Source organism: Homo sapiens, chromosome 5 (assembly GCF_000001405.40).
Source record: "Homo sapiens chromosome 5, GRCh38.p14 Primary Assembly".
In the NCBI taxonomy this organism is placed as follows: Eukaryota; Metazoa; Chordata; class Mammalia; order Primates; family Hominidae; genus Homo; species Homo sapiens.
The window spans coordinates 180,069,506-180,083,800 of NC_000005.10; the positions used below are offsets into that span (position 1 = coordinate 180,069,506).

At 50.1% G+C, this 14,295-nt stretch overlaps 1 protein-coding gene across 3 annotated transcripts in view, besides 2 other annotated features; it reads right to left on the reverse strand.

Annotated features, from left to right (window-relative positions):
• Positions 1 to 2,254, reverse strand: part of RNF130 (ring finger protein 130) — a 160,109-nt gene extending 157,855 nt beyond the window's left edge. For all 3 annotated transcript variants that reach the window (NM_001410829.1, NM_001280801.2, NM_018434.6), the window contains exon 1: positions 1,951 to 2,254. In NM_001410829.1, coding sequence (NP_001397758.1) covers positions 1,951 to 2,197 — 247 coding nt within the window. In that variant the 5' untranslated portion in view covers positions 2,198 to 2,254. The remainder of the gene's footprint in view (positions 1 to 1,950) is intronic.
• Positions 1,928 to 2,635: an enhancer, noted in NCBI's record as "H3K27ac hESC enhancer chr5:179498433-179499140 (GRCh37/hg19 assembly coordinates)". NCBI's record gives its function as "activates a minimal SCP1, AML or CMV promoter by ChIP-STARR-seq in naive H9 embryonic stem cells {active_cell/tissue: H9 hESC(naive)}" and the evidence as "EXISTENCE:reporter gene assay evidence [ECO:0000049][PMID:30033119]".
• Positions 2,525 to 2,604: a silencer, noted in NCBI's record as "silent region_16757". NCBI's record gives its function as "represses an Ori minimal core promoter by ATAC-STARR-seq in GM12878 lymphoblastoid cells {active_cell/tissue: GM12878}" and the evidence as "EXISTENCE:reporter gene assay evidence [ECO:0000049][PMID:35858748]".

Genomic DNA, 14,295 nt, shown 5'->3' on the forward strand with positions numbered 1-14,295 from the left:
GACTGACTTCACACCCAGTCTTCACACACTGCCCAAATGTGTTCATTTTGTTGCAGTGTCTGAAATCTCACCAACTGAGAGATTCCTCTAGGTTAACAAATCTCCTCTTTTCAGAATTAAGGAACCGTTTAAACCTGTCAACAACCTTAAGAGATGTACATTTCATCATTCCATTTTACAGATGAGCAAACAGGCTAAATGGCAGAGTTACTTTTACAGTGTCACACAATGGACGTAAAGCACAGGCCTGACTCAGAACCTTTAATCCTACAATGCTGCCTCCCCACTGAGAGGGGAACAGGACTAATCTTCATCCATACCTCAATACACATGAGTTAGTTTCCAATACCCTTCTACAGAAACACCTAAAACAAGCTTTCTCAAAGACGGGGCTTTTGTTTGGGGTGACAGGCAAGCAACAAGTAGCTGAAGCACACGAACACCGTGGAGGAAGGATCTGAAGTTCAGACCATGGATTTGGGGTGCCTGATGGAACCAAGCCTCAAAGACAAACCACAGATTTCACAACACTGCAGAGGACCAGCTCTTGCTCCACAACAGCTTGCCTCCCCTTCCTCTTTCTACCCTTCCACGTGACCCTCACGGTTCTCTCCACCAGAAAAGAGGCTACCATTGTTAGTTGCCAGTCTGGCAACACTGTGCATCTCAACCACAGTGACTGGCACAGAGCAGGAACGCAAATATTTACTGAATGAACCCAAGACAAAAGTTGTTTCTACGGCCAAGCTGGGACCCTAACTGCCATTTTTAACACAGTAGAGATGAGATATGCACCTTAAGCACCTGATTACTGGTGTAAAACGGACTTTTCAAAGCCTAGTCTGAGTTGCGGACAGGCTACAGTAAAAGCCTTATGTGATTATTTTTCCCCAGCCAGACTGTCTCAAAGAAGAAAACAGCTTAGCACTTTGGCATACAAATACAGACCTCAGAGGGGCATAATATGTTAGTATCTTAAGAGTGTACAAGCAAATCATGACTTTATTTAGGTTGCCTACTTTAGGTCATCCTAACATGAACAGCAGTTTAGAAAAGAAAAATCCCCTCTCAGCATTCTCAGGGTGACAATGAGGGTGGGGATAATGGCAGATATCTCCCAAAAGTTCAGCGTGGGCCAAAACCCAAAAAATCATATTCCACGATGTGCAAAAGGTTTCTTTCAAACCATGACTAATAATTTAAACAAATACATGTTTACACCAAATAATCAACTAAACAAAGTCCTTGTTCATAGGAAAACATGACATTAAGCCGAATGGTTTCAAAGACAATTCTTGAAAATTTTACCTATTTCCCTTTTGGTCGGCACCCGTGACCTGAAAAGCCTTGGCTAGTAGTTCCGATTAGTGTCAGATCCTCATAATGTGACATTTTCAGGCGTCAAATTACAGTAAAACTACTAGGGCAAGAACAAGAGCCAAAAGCAACAGGGAAGATGTCCATTTTCCATTTACACCCCCCCCCCAATTTACCACTTAAGAAAAACGGCACGTTTTTATATTAGAAAAGGGCCGCATCCTTCCAGATCTAGCGCAGCCTTAAGTCCGTGATTTGAGGAACCTGCCGCTTCCAAAATACAGGCTGAGACGTCCTCCCCATGAAGTAGTTTTGCGCTCTTGCACCACCTCCTTTGTCTACGCTGTCCCTGCAAACTCCTAGCTCAATGCCCTCCAGCAAACGAGCTGCCTGAACGCAAAGATGACCGTTCCAAGTCTTTTTTAAAAGAAGGGAAAAACCCAGTCACGCTCCTGGAGCCTGGTTCCCACGGGAGCAGGCCGGGCTGTCCACGACGGAAGCCTCGACCCTGGCTGGGGCTGTCGGCCGGGCAGCGCGGGAGAGCCAGGGCCAGAGCCGGGGCCGGGAACCCTAGTCCCGCCGCCTACGCGGGATGCAGCGACCACCGCCCGCCGCCCCCGGGCCGGCACTCACCTCCGTGGAGGGGCAGCGGCGCCAGCACCTGGCCGCGGACCTCGGCCTTGGGGGAGTCAAGCCCGTAGCGCCCGCGGTCGATGCGAAACGTGAGCGGGGCGCCGCGGCCGGGCTCCTGCACCGTCACGTTGATGAGCGCCGTGTAGTACTCCTGGCTCGCGTTGTCTGCCCGTGCCGGCCACAGGCTGCAGGTCAGCAGGGCGAGCGCGGCGAGCCGGGCAGGGCCCGCCCGCCCCGCGCAGCTCATCGTCCCTCCGGCAGCCGCCGCTGCTCGCGGACCGGGCTCCGGGGCCGGCGCCTAGAGGCGGGGCGGGCGCGGCCCGGGCGGCGGCGGGAGCGCGCGCGCGCGGCCTGCGCGGGGCCGAGCCCGAGCGCGGCCCTCCTGGACGCCGCGGCCCCGCCGCTCGCCGCCCTCACGTCCACTGCCCGCCTGTGGGGACGCGCCCATGGGCCCTCGGCGAGGGCGGCGTCTCAGGTCGCACGCGGGCGTCTCTTCGGGGTCCCAGGAGGGTTGTAGAAGCGTGCCCCCTCCATCCCCCCGGGTCGGTCCCACCGAATGGGAGGCGCCTCGCAAGGACGCGGCGGGGGAGGGGAAGGGCGGCACGGGAGGAAGCGCCCCGAGGAGGGTCAGCGGAACACAAAGTCCCTCTCGCGCGGCTGCCGCCTGAGGCGCGTGTCCGCCGCCGCCCCGCCCCCCCGCTGGTCTAGCGGCAACGCGCAGGCCTAAGGCGCAGTCCCGCCCCGAGCGCATGCGTGCCAGGGCCTGTCCGCTCCCGCCCGCCTGCACGAGGGCCCGGGCAGCCGGGTCAGCCGCTGGTGCTGGTTGTTTCTCTGTCAGGCGTGATAGCCGCAGGGCGTGGAGCCCGGGAGATTTGCGAGGACGTATGGAAATGTGTGAGAACAGACTACAAAGGAAAAAAAGCCATAACTTTAAAAGAAATGTTTAAAATTAAATGTCATGAGATTTAACATTCACGTCATGCGGTTGACATCATGGATGGGGGATGTCTCTGGCCCGGACCTGCAGGGACACGAGTGGTTGGGAAAGACCTCTAGGGTAGCCGTCCCTAACCATTTTGGCACTGGGGGACGGGTTTCCAGGAAGAGAGTTTTTCCAGGGACTGAGGGAGTTGAAGTGGTTTCCGGATGAGGCTGCTCCACCTCAGATCATCAGGCGTTAGATTCTCGTAAGAAGTGGGCAACCTAGGTCCCAAGCATGCGCAGTTCACAGCCGGGTTCACGTTGCTATGAGAGTCTAATGCCGCCCTGATCTGACAGGAGGCGGAGCTCAGGCGGTGATGCTCACTCACCTCCTGCTCGCTTACTGGTTCCTCGAAGGCCCTGGGCCGGTACAGGTCCGCGGCCGGGCGGTTGGGGAGCCCCTGCTCTAGTGACTAGGTGAACTACTCCAGGGGCCCCCGGACCAGAGGGTTGCAGTGGGAACCCCCCCTCCACCTTCCGAAACGCGCGCGCGCGCACACACACACGACTCTCATTTTCTCTCTCCATGGCGTTTAAAAGATACACATCGCTATAAAGTATCAGCTAAAAGGAAGAATGGGGCAGTGCAGCCGAATTCAGGAACTTACAGGATCTTTGTGGGGAGGCGGAGGGGGAAAGTTTGGCGTCTTCTGACCAGCCAGGGTTGAGTCTCCTGTCTCCTACTGCGGGAAGTGGGTGGAGTCAGCTTTGCACAACCAAATGTTCTGAAAATCCGGAAAAGAGGTGGCTCCCCAAAAAGAAATTTGAGGCACTGTTTCCAGGAAAGGGTACGGATGCAGTGCAGGCTAAAACTTAAGATGCCCACCACTGGCCAGGCGCGGTGGCTCACGCCCGTAATCGCAGCACTTTGGGAGGCCTAGGTGGGCGGATCACGAGGTCAGGAGTTCGAGACCAGCTTGGCCAACATGGTGAAACCCCGTCTCTACTAAAAATAAAAAAATTAGTCGTGGTGATGCGTGCCTGTAGTCCCAGCTACTCGGGAGGCTGAGGCAGGAGAATCGTTGGAACCCGGGAAGCGGAGGTTGCAGTGAGCAGAGATCGAGCCACTGCACTCCAGCCTGGGCGACAGAGCAAGACTCCGTCTCAGAAAAAGAAAAAAGAAAGAAAACAGATGTCCACTATTGATGACTTGGCAGACATCCTTTACAATTTCTCCCTCCATTTCCCTCTCTTCCATCCTCTACCATAGTCCTTATAAACCGTGCCCTGGCCTATGGAGAACGGCTTTTACTTATTTACTTATCCTCGGCAAGTACAGACCCTAGGCCAAAGCAGCGGGGTCCTCGCCCTGGGCCTGGCACCTAAAGAGTGCTCTAATCTGGTCCCCTCCAGCTGGACCCTTCATAGGGCAAGGAGTCCTTAGCACCAAGGTACCCATGCTCTAGCACCTAAGACCCAGAAATTCCTTCTCCCCACAGCCCAGGGCCACATCTAGGGCCTGTGTAGGGCTCTTCCCGGTGACGGTCTCCTGCTCTTCTTGCTGGGCATGCCCTGGCCTACCCCTGCCCAAGAGGCTCATGGCCTCTACTCCTTTGTCCTTATAAAGGAGGAGTCTTCAAACTGTAAGGTGCCCATGACCCCTGGCACAAGAAACAATTATAGAAGCTCACAAGCACCACTTTGTTAATCAGGTGGGGAGGAAGTGGCTTTCTCAACCCTTCTGAATTTGTCAAGGAGAAAATTGGTTCCAGAGCACCTTTAACACTTCCCTGGCACTTGCTGATCTCCCCTTTAAATAAAGCAAGATGAGGTCTCGGTGCACAGCCTCATCACGCACCAGCATGTACGGCAACATTCACACCAGCCTGTACTTGGGAGTGGCATTGTCTTTTAAGGAAACCTCAAGGTTTTAAGGAGACCTTAGGGAGACAAGAAGTTTTTCATTTATAATAGTGATACAACGCTACCTTTTAAAATATTATGGTAAAATACACATAACATAAAATTGTCCATCTTAACCATTTTTAAGCATATGGATCAGTGGCATTAAGTACATTCACATCGTTGTGTAACCTTTGCCATCCATCTCCAGAACTCTTTCCATCTTGTAAAACTGAAACTCTGCACCCATTAAACGTTCCCCCTTCCCCAACTACCATTCTTCTTTTCTGTCTCTATGATTTTGATGATTCTACTTACCCGCATAAGTGGAATCATATAGTATTTGTCCTTTTGTGAGTAGCTTATCTTGCTTTGCACGATGTCCTTGAGGTTCACCTCTGTTGAAGTACGTATCAGATTTCCTCCTTTGCTAAGGCTGAATCATATCACATTGTATGTATATTCCAAGTTTTTTTTTAGCCATTCATCCATTCCACTGTATGTATATAATACACTTTGTTTATCCATTCATCATAGGACACTTGGTTGCCTCTACTGTTTGGCTATTGTGAATAATGATGCTATGAACATTGGGCGTATAAATATCCCTTCCTGCTTTCAATTCTTTTGTGTATATACTCAGAAGTGGAATTACCAGATCTAATGGTAATTCTATGCTTAATTTTTTTCAGGAACTGCCCTACTGTTTTTTTAATAGTAGCTGCCCCATTTTACATTCCCACCAACTGCACAAGGGTTCCAGTTTCTTCTCATCCTTGCCAACACTTCTCTACTTCTTTTTCAAAATAGTAGCCATCTAAATGGGTATTAGGTGGTCTCTCATTATGGTTTTGATTTGCATTTCCCTAATGATTAGTGGTGCTGAACATCTTTTCATGTGCTTATTGGCCATGTGTATATCTTTACACGATGCTATCTTTTAAAACATTTAAGAAAAAAGTGAATTAAAAGTATTGGTTAAATAAAAGTACGAGTGGTTTTATCGGACATGGCAGGTCTCACGGAGGATGTGTGCCGCAGTCTGGCTCTGGCCCACGCTGGCCTGTGAATGAGCTGCCCACGAACCTTTTTCCTTAATGGGGTTATTTCCCTGACTCCACCACGCACCATATTCCCCTGCCTCTGTGTCCATTTCTCAGCCTACAATAAATCCTAGGTCACCTGTAAGCCCCAGCTCAAAATCCCCTTCTCCCCAGAACTCCAGTGGGGCCCGAGCTGCCAGCCTCCCACATCCAGGCCCCGTAAGAGCTTCAGTCCTTCAGGAGGAGATCTGTCTCCCCTGTGAGCAATGTCTGCCCTCCCAGGACAGCAGACAGGGTAATGGGTGTGTGTAAAGCATGCTGCACAGAGTTTGGGATGCCAGCAATCAGAGACCAAGCGGGGGTCCCCTGAACAGTGCTACAAACCCCAGGGGGTTGCCCAGATTTCCCAAAGTCCAACTCCTCTTTCTCCTCCTCTTCCTTTTCTTTCTTGAATGGCACATAATCCCCACTGGTCCTAGGAAGGCCCTGCTCTTGTTTCATTATTAACATGCTCCCTTTTATCACTATTTCTCACTCCCATTCCTTGACCCATAGGGAACCATTTTAGTGTGCCTCATGCGTCTCTTTTGTTTGTGTTCTTGCAAAATGTGTGTTGTTGCTTAATGTGCCTGTGCTTTTTAATTATTAAACTGTATTGGGTTATTGATGTCATTCTGTTTCTGATCCTCTTCACCCAGCACTATATTGTGTTTTTTTTTTACTTCTTTCATACATTTATTGCTTTTTTATATTGCAACATAACATACATAAAGTGCAAAAATTTTATGTTTACAACTCAAAACGTCTTTTATGAGGCGGAAACACCCTTTACCCATTATCTAGATGAAGATGGAGAACATTACTAGCACTCCTGAAAGCTTCCCTGAGCTGCTCCGTCGTGAGCACCCCACCATTCTGATTTCTTTTCTTCTTTCTTTAGAGACAGGGTCTTAGTCTGTCACCCAGGCGGGAGCGCAGTGATGCAATCATGGCTTCCTGCAGGCTTGAACTCCTGGACTCAGCAATGCTCCCACCTCATCCTCCCGAGTAGCTGAGACTACAGGTGTGCACCACCATACCCAGCTACTATCCTGCTTTCTGTTACCATTGATTAGTTTGCCTGTTGTTGAACTTTATATAATATAAATAGAATCATACAATATGGAATCTTTGGTGTCGTTTCTTTTTCTTAACCTATGTCTGTGAGATTTCGTGTTTTTGTGTGTGTAGGTATAGTTTGCTCTTTTTATTTGCTGTATAGTGTTCCACTGTTGATTTATCCATTTTCCTGTGGATGGGCATTCATATTGATTTTCGTTTGTGAATGTGATGGATCAAGCCGTTATGAAGCCTGCATGCCTCTCGGTGGGGATGTGTCTGCATCTCTGAGAGTGTCCTTCGGAGTGGGATGCTGTGTCATGTGCAGGCATGTATTTCGTGTTGGTAGGCACTGGCGCCATATTTTCAAGCTGCCCCCTTCCTCCCCACCTGAGCCTCTTTTATCTGTGTCTTCCCTCCCCACGCCCACCTCCTGCTCCTGCCCCTTGTAAGTCTCCATCTATGCTGGCGGCTTCCACTGTTGGTAATTATGAAACCCCACCCCCAGCTGTGGCTGCAGGTAAAAGCCCTGCAGAAACCCAGTCCAACTCCATGGAGCAGGCTGTCCAGGGAGGCTGTGTTCCTTATAGACCCTAAAGTCCTCACAGATGCTGTAGGTGAAGGGCTCTATGGAGACATCAACCACACAAGAGATGCTTCTGATACTGGCCGAGCTTTTTCACATTCACATCAGATTTGCTGAATTTGCCTTGTGAAGAATTCACGGTGGCTCACGCCTGTTAATCCCAGCACTTTGGGAGGCCAAGGTGGGCAGATCACTTGAGGCCAGGAGTTCGAGACCAGCCTGGCCAACATGGTGAAACCCCGTCGCTACTAAAAATACAAAAATTAGCTGAGTATGGTGGCATGCACCTGTAATCCCAGCTACTCTGGAGGCTGAGGCAGGAGAATCACTCGAACCTGGGAGGCAGAGGTTGCAGTGAGACGAGATTGCACCACTGCACTCCAGCCTGGGCAACAGAGCAAGACTCCATCTCAAAACAAAAGAATCCATTGAGAAGCCGTGTCCATCTAATGGGCTTCACAGAAGGCCAAGAGACAGGCTCCAGGTCCCCAGAGTGGGTCGCCAGGGCAAGCACACGGCAAGGGTATTTTGCGACTCTCCTTAGGAGCTTTAATAAGTACAAATACCATTTTTTAATTTAAAAAAAATAAACGTTCATTTTAATATAAGCTTCTACTTCAGAGCAAGTGATTTAGCTTTCAATGATAGTCATGTCACCTGCTTTCAAAAAGTGAGATGTCTTAAAGAAAACTATTTAATAAATAACAGGTAGAACACAGATGTGGAGAAATTATGCAACTGGTGTGCAAAGGACAGAAAACGGAAGAGGAGCTCAAGGGACAGATGCCTAGGCCTGGGTTTAAATCGATGCTGTGCTGGAGCCAATTATTAAATATTCAGAAATTCTGCAAGCCGGTTGTTAAACATTGGTACTCTGAAACCAGCCACGGCAGTAAAGTAGTATTTATACCATGGAAATTGGCACACACTACAAATCAGGCCTCCCTTCCCTCCCCCTCCCCCTCTTTCTTATTTTTCACAGTGGTTTAGCAGAATGCCATTGGTTCAAATTCCCACTTGGCCACGAATCAGCTCTGTGATCTCTGCAAGTTCTCGTCCCCTTGGGGTCAGTTTCTCTCTGTGAAGTGGAGATGATGACCTCTGCCTCTCTAGCTCTGCCAGATGCAAATCAGAGGACAGATGCCTGGAACATGTGGCCGCTGTAGTTACCCCATTCCCTGTGACTTGTTGCTATAGAGGTGAGGTCTGTGAAGGGTTCAGCCTGGGTGAGGACTGAAACACCACCCTCCCACAGGCACCCCCCAGAGCAGGCACTCGCAGGCACCGGGTGCCCACTGCCACCAGGACATGACGTAATGGCATTTTATTTAGAAAAATCTACAACATATTTGCAGTAGCAATCCAAAAAATTTACTCTCTTCTAATGAAAAATTTCAAATACATGAAAAAGTTGAGATTGGTACAATGAAGCAGCTGTGTATCCCACCACCTGGATTCAGCTGTGGTTATCATGTGGTCATAAATGCTGTATCTGACGGGTCCCCAACCTCACGGAGCAGGCTGGTGAGCGAGTGAAGCCTCATCTGTATTTACAGCTGCTCCCCATTGCTCACGTTACCACCTAAGCTCCACCTCCTGTCACATCAGCAGCAGCACTGAATTCTCATAGGAGCGTGAGCCGTACCGTGAACTGTGTGTGCGAGGGATCTAGGTTCCGTGCTCCTTATGAGAATCTAATGCCTGATGATCTGTCACTGTCTTCCATCACCTCCAGATGGGACTGTCTAGTTGCAGGAAAACAAGCTCAGGGCTCCCACTGATCTACATTATGGTGAGTTGTATAATATTTCATTATATATTACAAGTTAATAATAATAGAATTAAAGTGCACAATAAATGTAATGTGCTTGAATCATCTCAAAACCACCCCCAGCCTGATTCCAGTCCATGGAGAAATTGTCTTCCACTAAACCTGGTCCCTGGTGTCAAAAGTGTTGGGGACCTGCTGCTCTGTCACTTTGACTTGTAAAGCTCTTTCCTGAACTATCTTATGACCCTTTGGGCTGTTCTTCCATGCTATCACGGCTGGGACAATGAACAGTGAATTCCCTATGAACAATGAATTCCCTAAAATAACCCCATATCCCACCCTTATTCAGATATTTCCAAACATCTCAACGTGTCCCTCCACCCTGTTTTATTTGAATGGGATCCCGTGAAAGTTCTGCAGGGGGTTTGATTATGCCTTTTTCTAGAAATTCAGACTGTAAGGGTGCACCCCAGATCCAGCAGAAGTGGACAGCCATCCTGAGACCCAAAGCTTGTATCCTGCCCTAAGACTGCACCACTCAGAACTCCCCAGGAAATGTACTGAGTTCTGCAGTTGTCCTGTCAACACCACAAGTATGCTGTGTTCTAATTTGTTGTGAGAACACTGAAATTATACCACAATCACTGCAACCTTCTCATCTGTAGCATACCAAGAACCTCAAAAAAATGAAGCTAGCCCAGGCTCCTCCCACCTCCCAGGCTCTGCACTAAATGAACGAAACTGCCCTCCTTTCCCTTCTCTGGGGGATGGTCTCATCAGGGAAGTAACGGCAGGAGTACGGGGAGGGAAACCTACCATGCTGGCAGTCCCCGAGCCCAGGGCTCTCAGGCCATGTTAGTGACAGTCTGATGGGGTGACATCGTGGAAACCCCAATTGACCCAAGAGAAGTGACAGGATGGCTCAGATTTGGAAGCTGTCATGTTCCAGAGACGAGAATTTGATCTCCCTGCAGATGCTCAGACACAGGGATTGTTACACCTATTTTGCAGATCTGGAAACTGAAACTCAGAGAAGCTCTTTGTCCAGCTGATGAGTAGTGAGTGGCGGCTCTGGGGCGTAAACCCAGTCCTGGCAGGCTCCTGGGCCTCACTCATGTTGCTACTGCAGGTTGGCGCCAGGCTCAGGATGCAGAGGACCCCTGGGTTTCTTTGCATTTGGCCCAGCCCAGGAAGCCTCAAGCTGACAGTCGAGCTCTGTCCAGGAATTCGGGTGGGTCCTGGACCTGGTCCTGCCTTTGGGAGGCTGAGCAGTCACAGGCTGCCAGGATGGCTGCTAAAAAGCAGGATCGAAGGTATTGCTTTGTCCTTTGTCAAGATGAGTTTGATCAGAGTGATGAATGACTGAGCCACAAAGAGCTGAGCGAGAGGCCATGCACCTGGGCTGAGGAAGCCTGAGGCCAGCCACCCCTGCATCTGAGTGCTGGTGCTGAGGCTGACTTGCAGTGGTGATCGTTGGATTCCCGAGGGCCCCTCCACCAGGCGACCTAGGATATCCAGGACCCTTATCCTCATGGACAGGAGAAACAGACTTGGTCCAACTTGCACAGAAAGCGGCTCCTTTGGAAGTCTGCAGAGCCACTCATCTGGCTGGAAGTGCGTCCGGAACTGGTTCCTTCTGGTGGGTTCTTGGTCTCCCTGACTTCAAGAATGAAGCTGCAGACTCTCACAGCAAGTGTTACAATTCTTAAAGACGGTGTGTCCAGAGTTTGTTCCTTCAGATGTTAAGATGTGTCCAGAGTTTCTTCCTTCTGGTGGGTTCGTGGTCTTCCTGACTTCAGAAGTGAAGCCGCAGACCTTCGCAGTGAGTCTTACAGCTCTTAAAGGCGGCGCGTCCAAGATTGTTCGTTCCTCCCGGTGGGTTTGTGGTCTCACTGACTTCAGGAGTGAACCTGCAGACCTTTCCAGTGAGTGTCATAGCTCATAAATGCAGTGCCTCACCCAAACCGTGAGCCAGTGGCAAGATTTATTGCAAAGAAAAAAAAACAAAGTTTCCACAGCGTGGAACAGGACTCAAGCGGGTTGCCGCTGCCGCAGGGGGTGGCCAGCTTTTATTCCATTATTTGCCCCGCCCCCCCATCCTGCTGATTGGTCCATTTTACAGAGTGCTGATTGGTCCATTTTACAGAGTGCTGATTGGTCCGTTTTGACAGAGTGCTGATTGGTGCGTTTACAAACCTTTAGCTAGACACAGAGCGCTGATTGGTCTGTTTACAATCCTTTAGTTAGACACAAAAGTTCTCCAAGTCCCCACCCGACCCAGAAGCCTAGCCGACTTCACTTCTCAGAGGGAGGGTAGCAGGGCTAGGCTCAGAAAGGACAGCCCTCATGCAGCCGTGCGGGTTGGGGTGGCTGGAACCAAAGGGTTCTATGAGGGTGCTGCTGTCGGGCAAAGCCAGTGCTGGGTTCCTCAAGGAAGAACACAAGCTTCCTACCTTGGATCAGATGCCTGCCCCTTGACTGTAGAAACTCGAACCACCTTGACTGTCAGCTCTGCCAAGAGAGTATCTGATGGAGGAGGAATGGGCCCCCTTCCAGGGCCAAAATAGCTTAGTGGGCAACGGGCAGGCAAGGGCAGCCTCCGTCTGCTGCAGGGGGAAGCCCATGCAGATCCCTGATCCCACTTCCTGCCAGGTGAACGCTGGCTGGTTTCTTTCAGAAGTAGAGGTGGGGTTTTGATCTTCTCTCTCAGACATGTCTTCCAGGTAGGGGACAATGTGCAGATCATTTGTGGTCAGCCGAGAGTCTGACATGAGAGACCCAGAAGCTTTTCCATGACCAGCAGCCTGGGGATTCAGGTGGGCGGGCAATGCAAGCTGCCAGTCCAGAGCTGACACCAGAGTCCAGGACACTTTTAAGCCAACATTCAACACAAGAGAAAACAAACTATGTGCATAAGGATATTTACTGTAGCATTAGCTACAGGGACAAAAAGTTGGAAATAAACTCCTTTATTTGTTAAGCAAATTGTGGTGCAACAAATTTGAGGATGGTTATGCAGCTATTAATATATCGAACAGGCTGTAGCAACGTGAACACTTACGATGTTCTGTTGAGTGCAAAAGCAGAATACAAATAAATCTCTGGTTGCCATTATGTGGAACAAGTCCATATGTATGAACAAGGACTGGAAAGTACAAAGGGAAACTTTAAAAATCCCAGGACCCTCAAACTCCTGCCCAAGGTTAAGCCTAGAGGATGAGCCATGCAACCCCCTCTTCCGGATGAATAGCTGTTGCTAGTATGATGCATTTGCCAGATCCCAACAGAAAGGTGCAAGTTCTCAGGCGGGCTGGGTGCAATGGCTCACCCCTGTAATTCCAGTGCTCTGGGAGGCTGAGACGGGAGGATCACTTGCGGCCAGGAGTTTAAGGCCAGCCTGAACAGCATAGCGAGACCCCCATCTCTACAAAAAATCATAAAATAATTTGCTGGGCGTTGTGGTGTCCCAGCTACTCTGGAGGCTGAGGCAGGAAGATTGCTTAAGCCCAGGAAGTTGAGGCTATTGACGCTACAGTGAGCTGTGTTTGTACCATTGCACTCCAGCCTGGGTGACAGGATGAGACCCTGTCTCAAAAGAAAACAAAATACAAACAACAACAAGAATATTCTAAAAAAGTTTGGTGGGGGTTGAGAGTTCCAGATCGGCTCACATAGATGACAAGAGAAATCTCTTGCCGGGCGCGGTGGCTCACGCCTGTAATCCCAGCACTTTGGGAGGCCGAGGCGGGTGGTTCACCTGAGGTCAGGAGTTTGAGACCAGCCTGGCCAACATGGTGAAATCCCGTTTCTACTAAAAATACAAAAAAATTAGCTGGGTGTGGTAGCAGGCACCTGTAATCCCAGCTACTCAGGAGGCTAGAGGCAGGAGAATTACTTGAACCCAGGAGGCAGAGGTTGCAGTGAGCCGTGATCGCGTTACTGCACTCCAGCTTGGGCAACAAGAGCGAAACTCCAACTCCAACAAACAAACAAAAGAAGAGATTCCACCTGTAGAAGGTGACAGCCAATGGGGATGTCAAGAGATCACGTGTCAGCGTGAGGAACAGAGTGACAGATGCCTTAAGGGGCCACTCAATGCTCACCCCTTCTCCCACGCCTGACTCCACAGCAGAGGCTGTAGGAAGTAAAAATTCAGTTTGCCTGTATGGGCATCCATCCGTTCATCCACCCACTCGTTCATTCAGCACATTTTTATGGAGCAGCAGTTCTAGGTACTTGGAATACATTAGCAAACAATCGAAGATCCTCCCCACCCGCCCCCCTCCCACAGCACGTCCCAGCCTGCAGAGGTTCTGGGCAATGCACCGGCTGGGAGGTCAGTTGTGCTGTATTTCTCCTTCTTCCTGCCACATGGGGTCCTGAGGACAGAAGCCATGCACTAAAGGCAGTGGAGACGGACAAGGGAGCCTGGGCCCCTGAGCTGAGCCAGGGCTCAGCCAGCCTGGCGCATTCTTCTGCACTTCTTTGTTTAAACCCTCGTGTGAAAGATTTGCTGTTATTTGCATCTGAATGCAGCCCTAACTGACGGAGGTAGAGACAAAGGGGAGGGAGCACTGAAATACTCCCAGGCTGGGCTCTGGGGTCTTGGCCTCTTGAAATTTCCCATGTACTCATTTTAAAACACTCCCAAATTAGGCCTATCCTAGAGAAGGGAGCTCCTCCTGATGGAGGGGCCCCAACTCTGAAAATCTAGAACTTGGGATTTTCAGCTAAGAGTGAAGAGGGCAGTTGGGGAGGGCCCTTAAGCAATCTGATGGCCCCGCAAACTAAGGGTGGCAGGCACTGATCAGTGCCATGGTGGTTGCAAGTATGTGAAGCCCAGCTCAAGCAGGAGGAGAATATAATGGGTCTGATCTAAGGCATGACTGAATCTACACGCTCAAAAGATATCATCAATGTTGGGCTCCCTCTGTCCCTGTCTCAACCTTGCTCTCCCCTGGGTTGCCTTCATTTGTTCTCAGGTGGCTCTCCCTGTGTGGGTACAAGATGACCCCCGGCGTGTC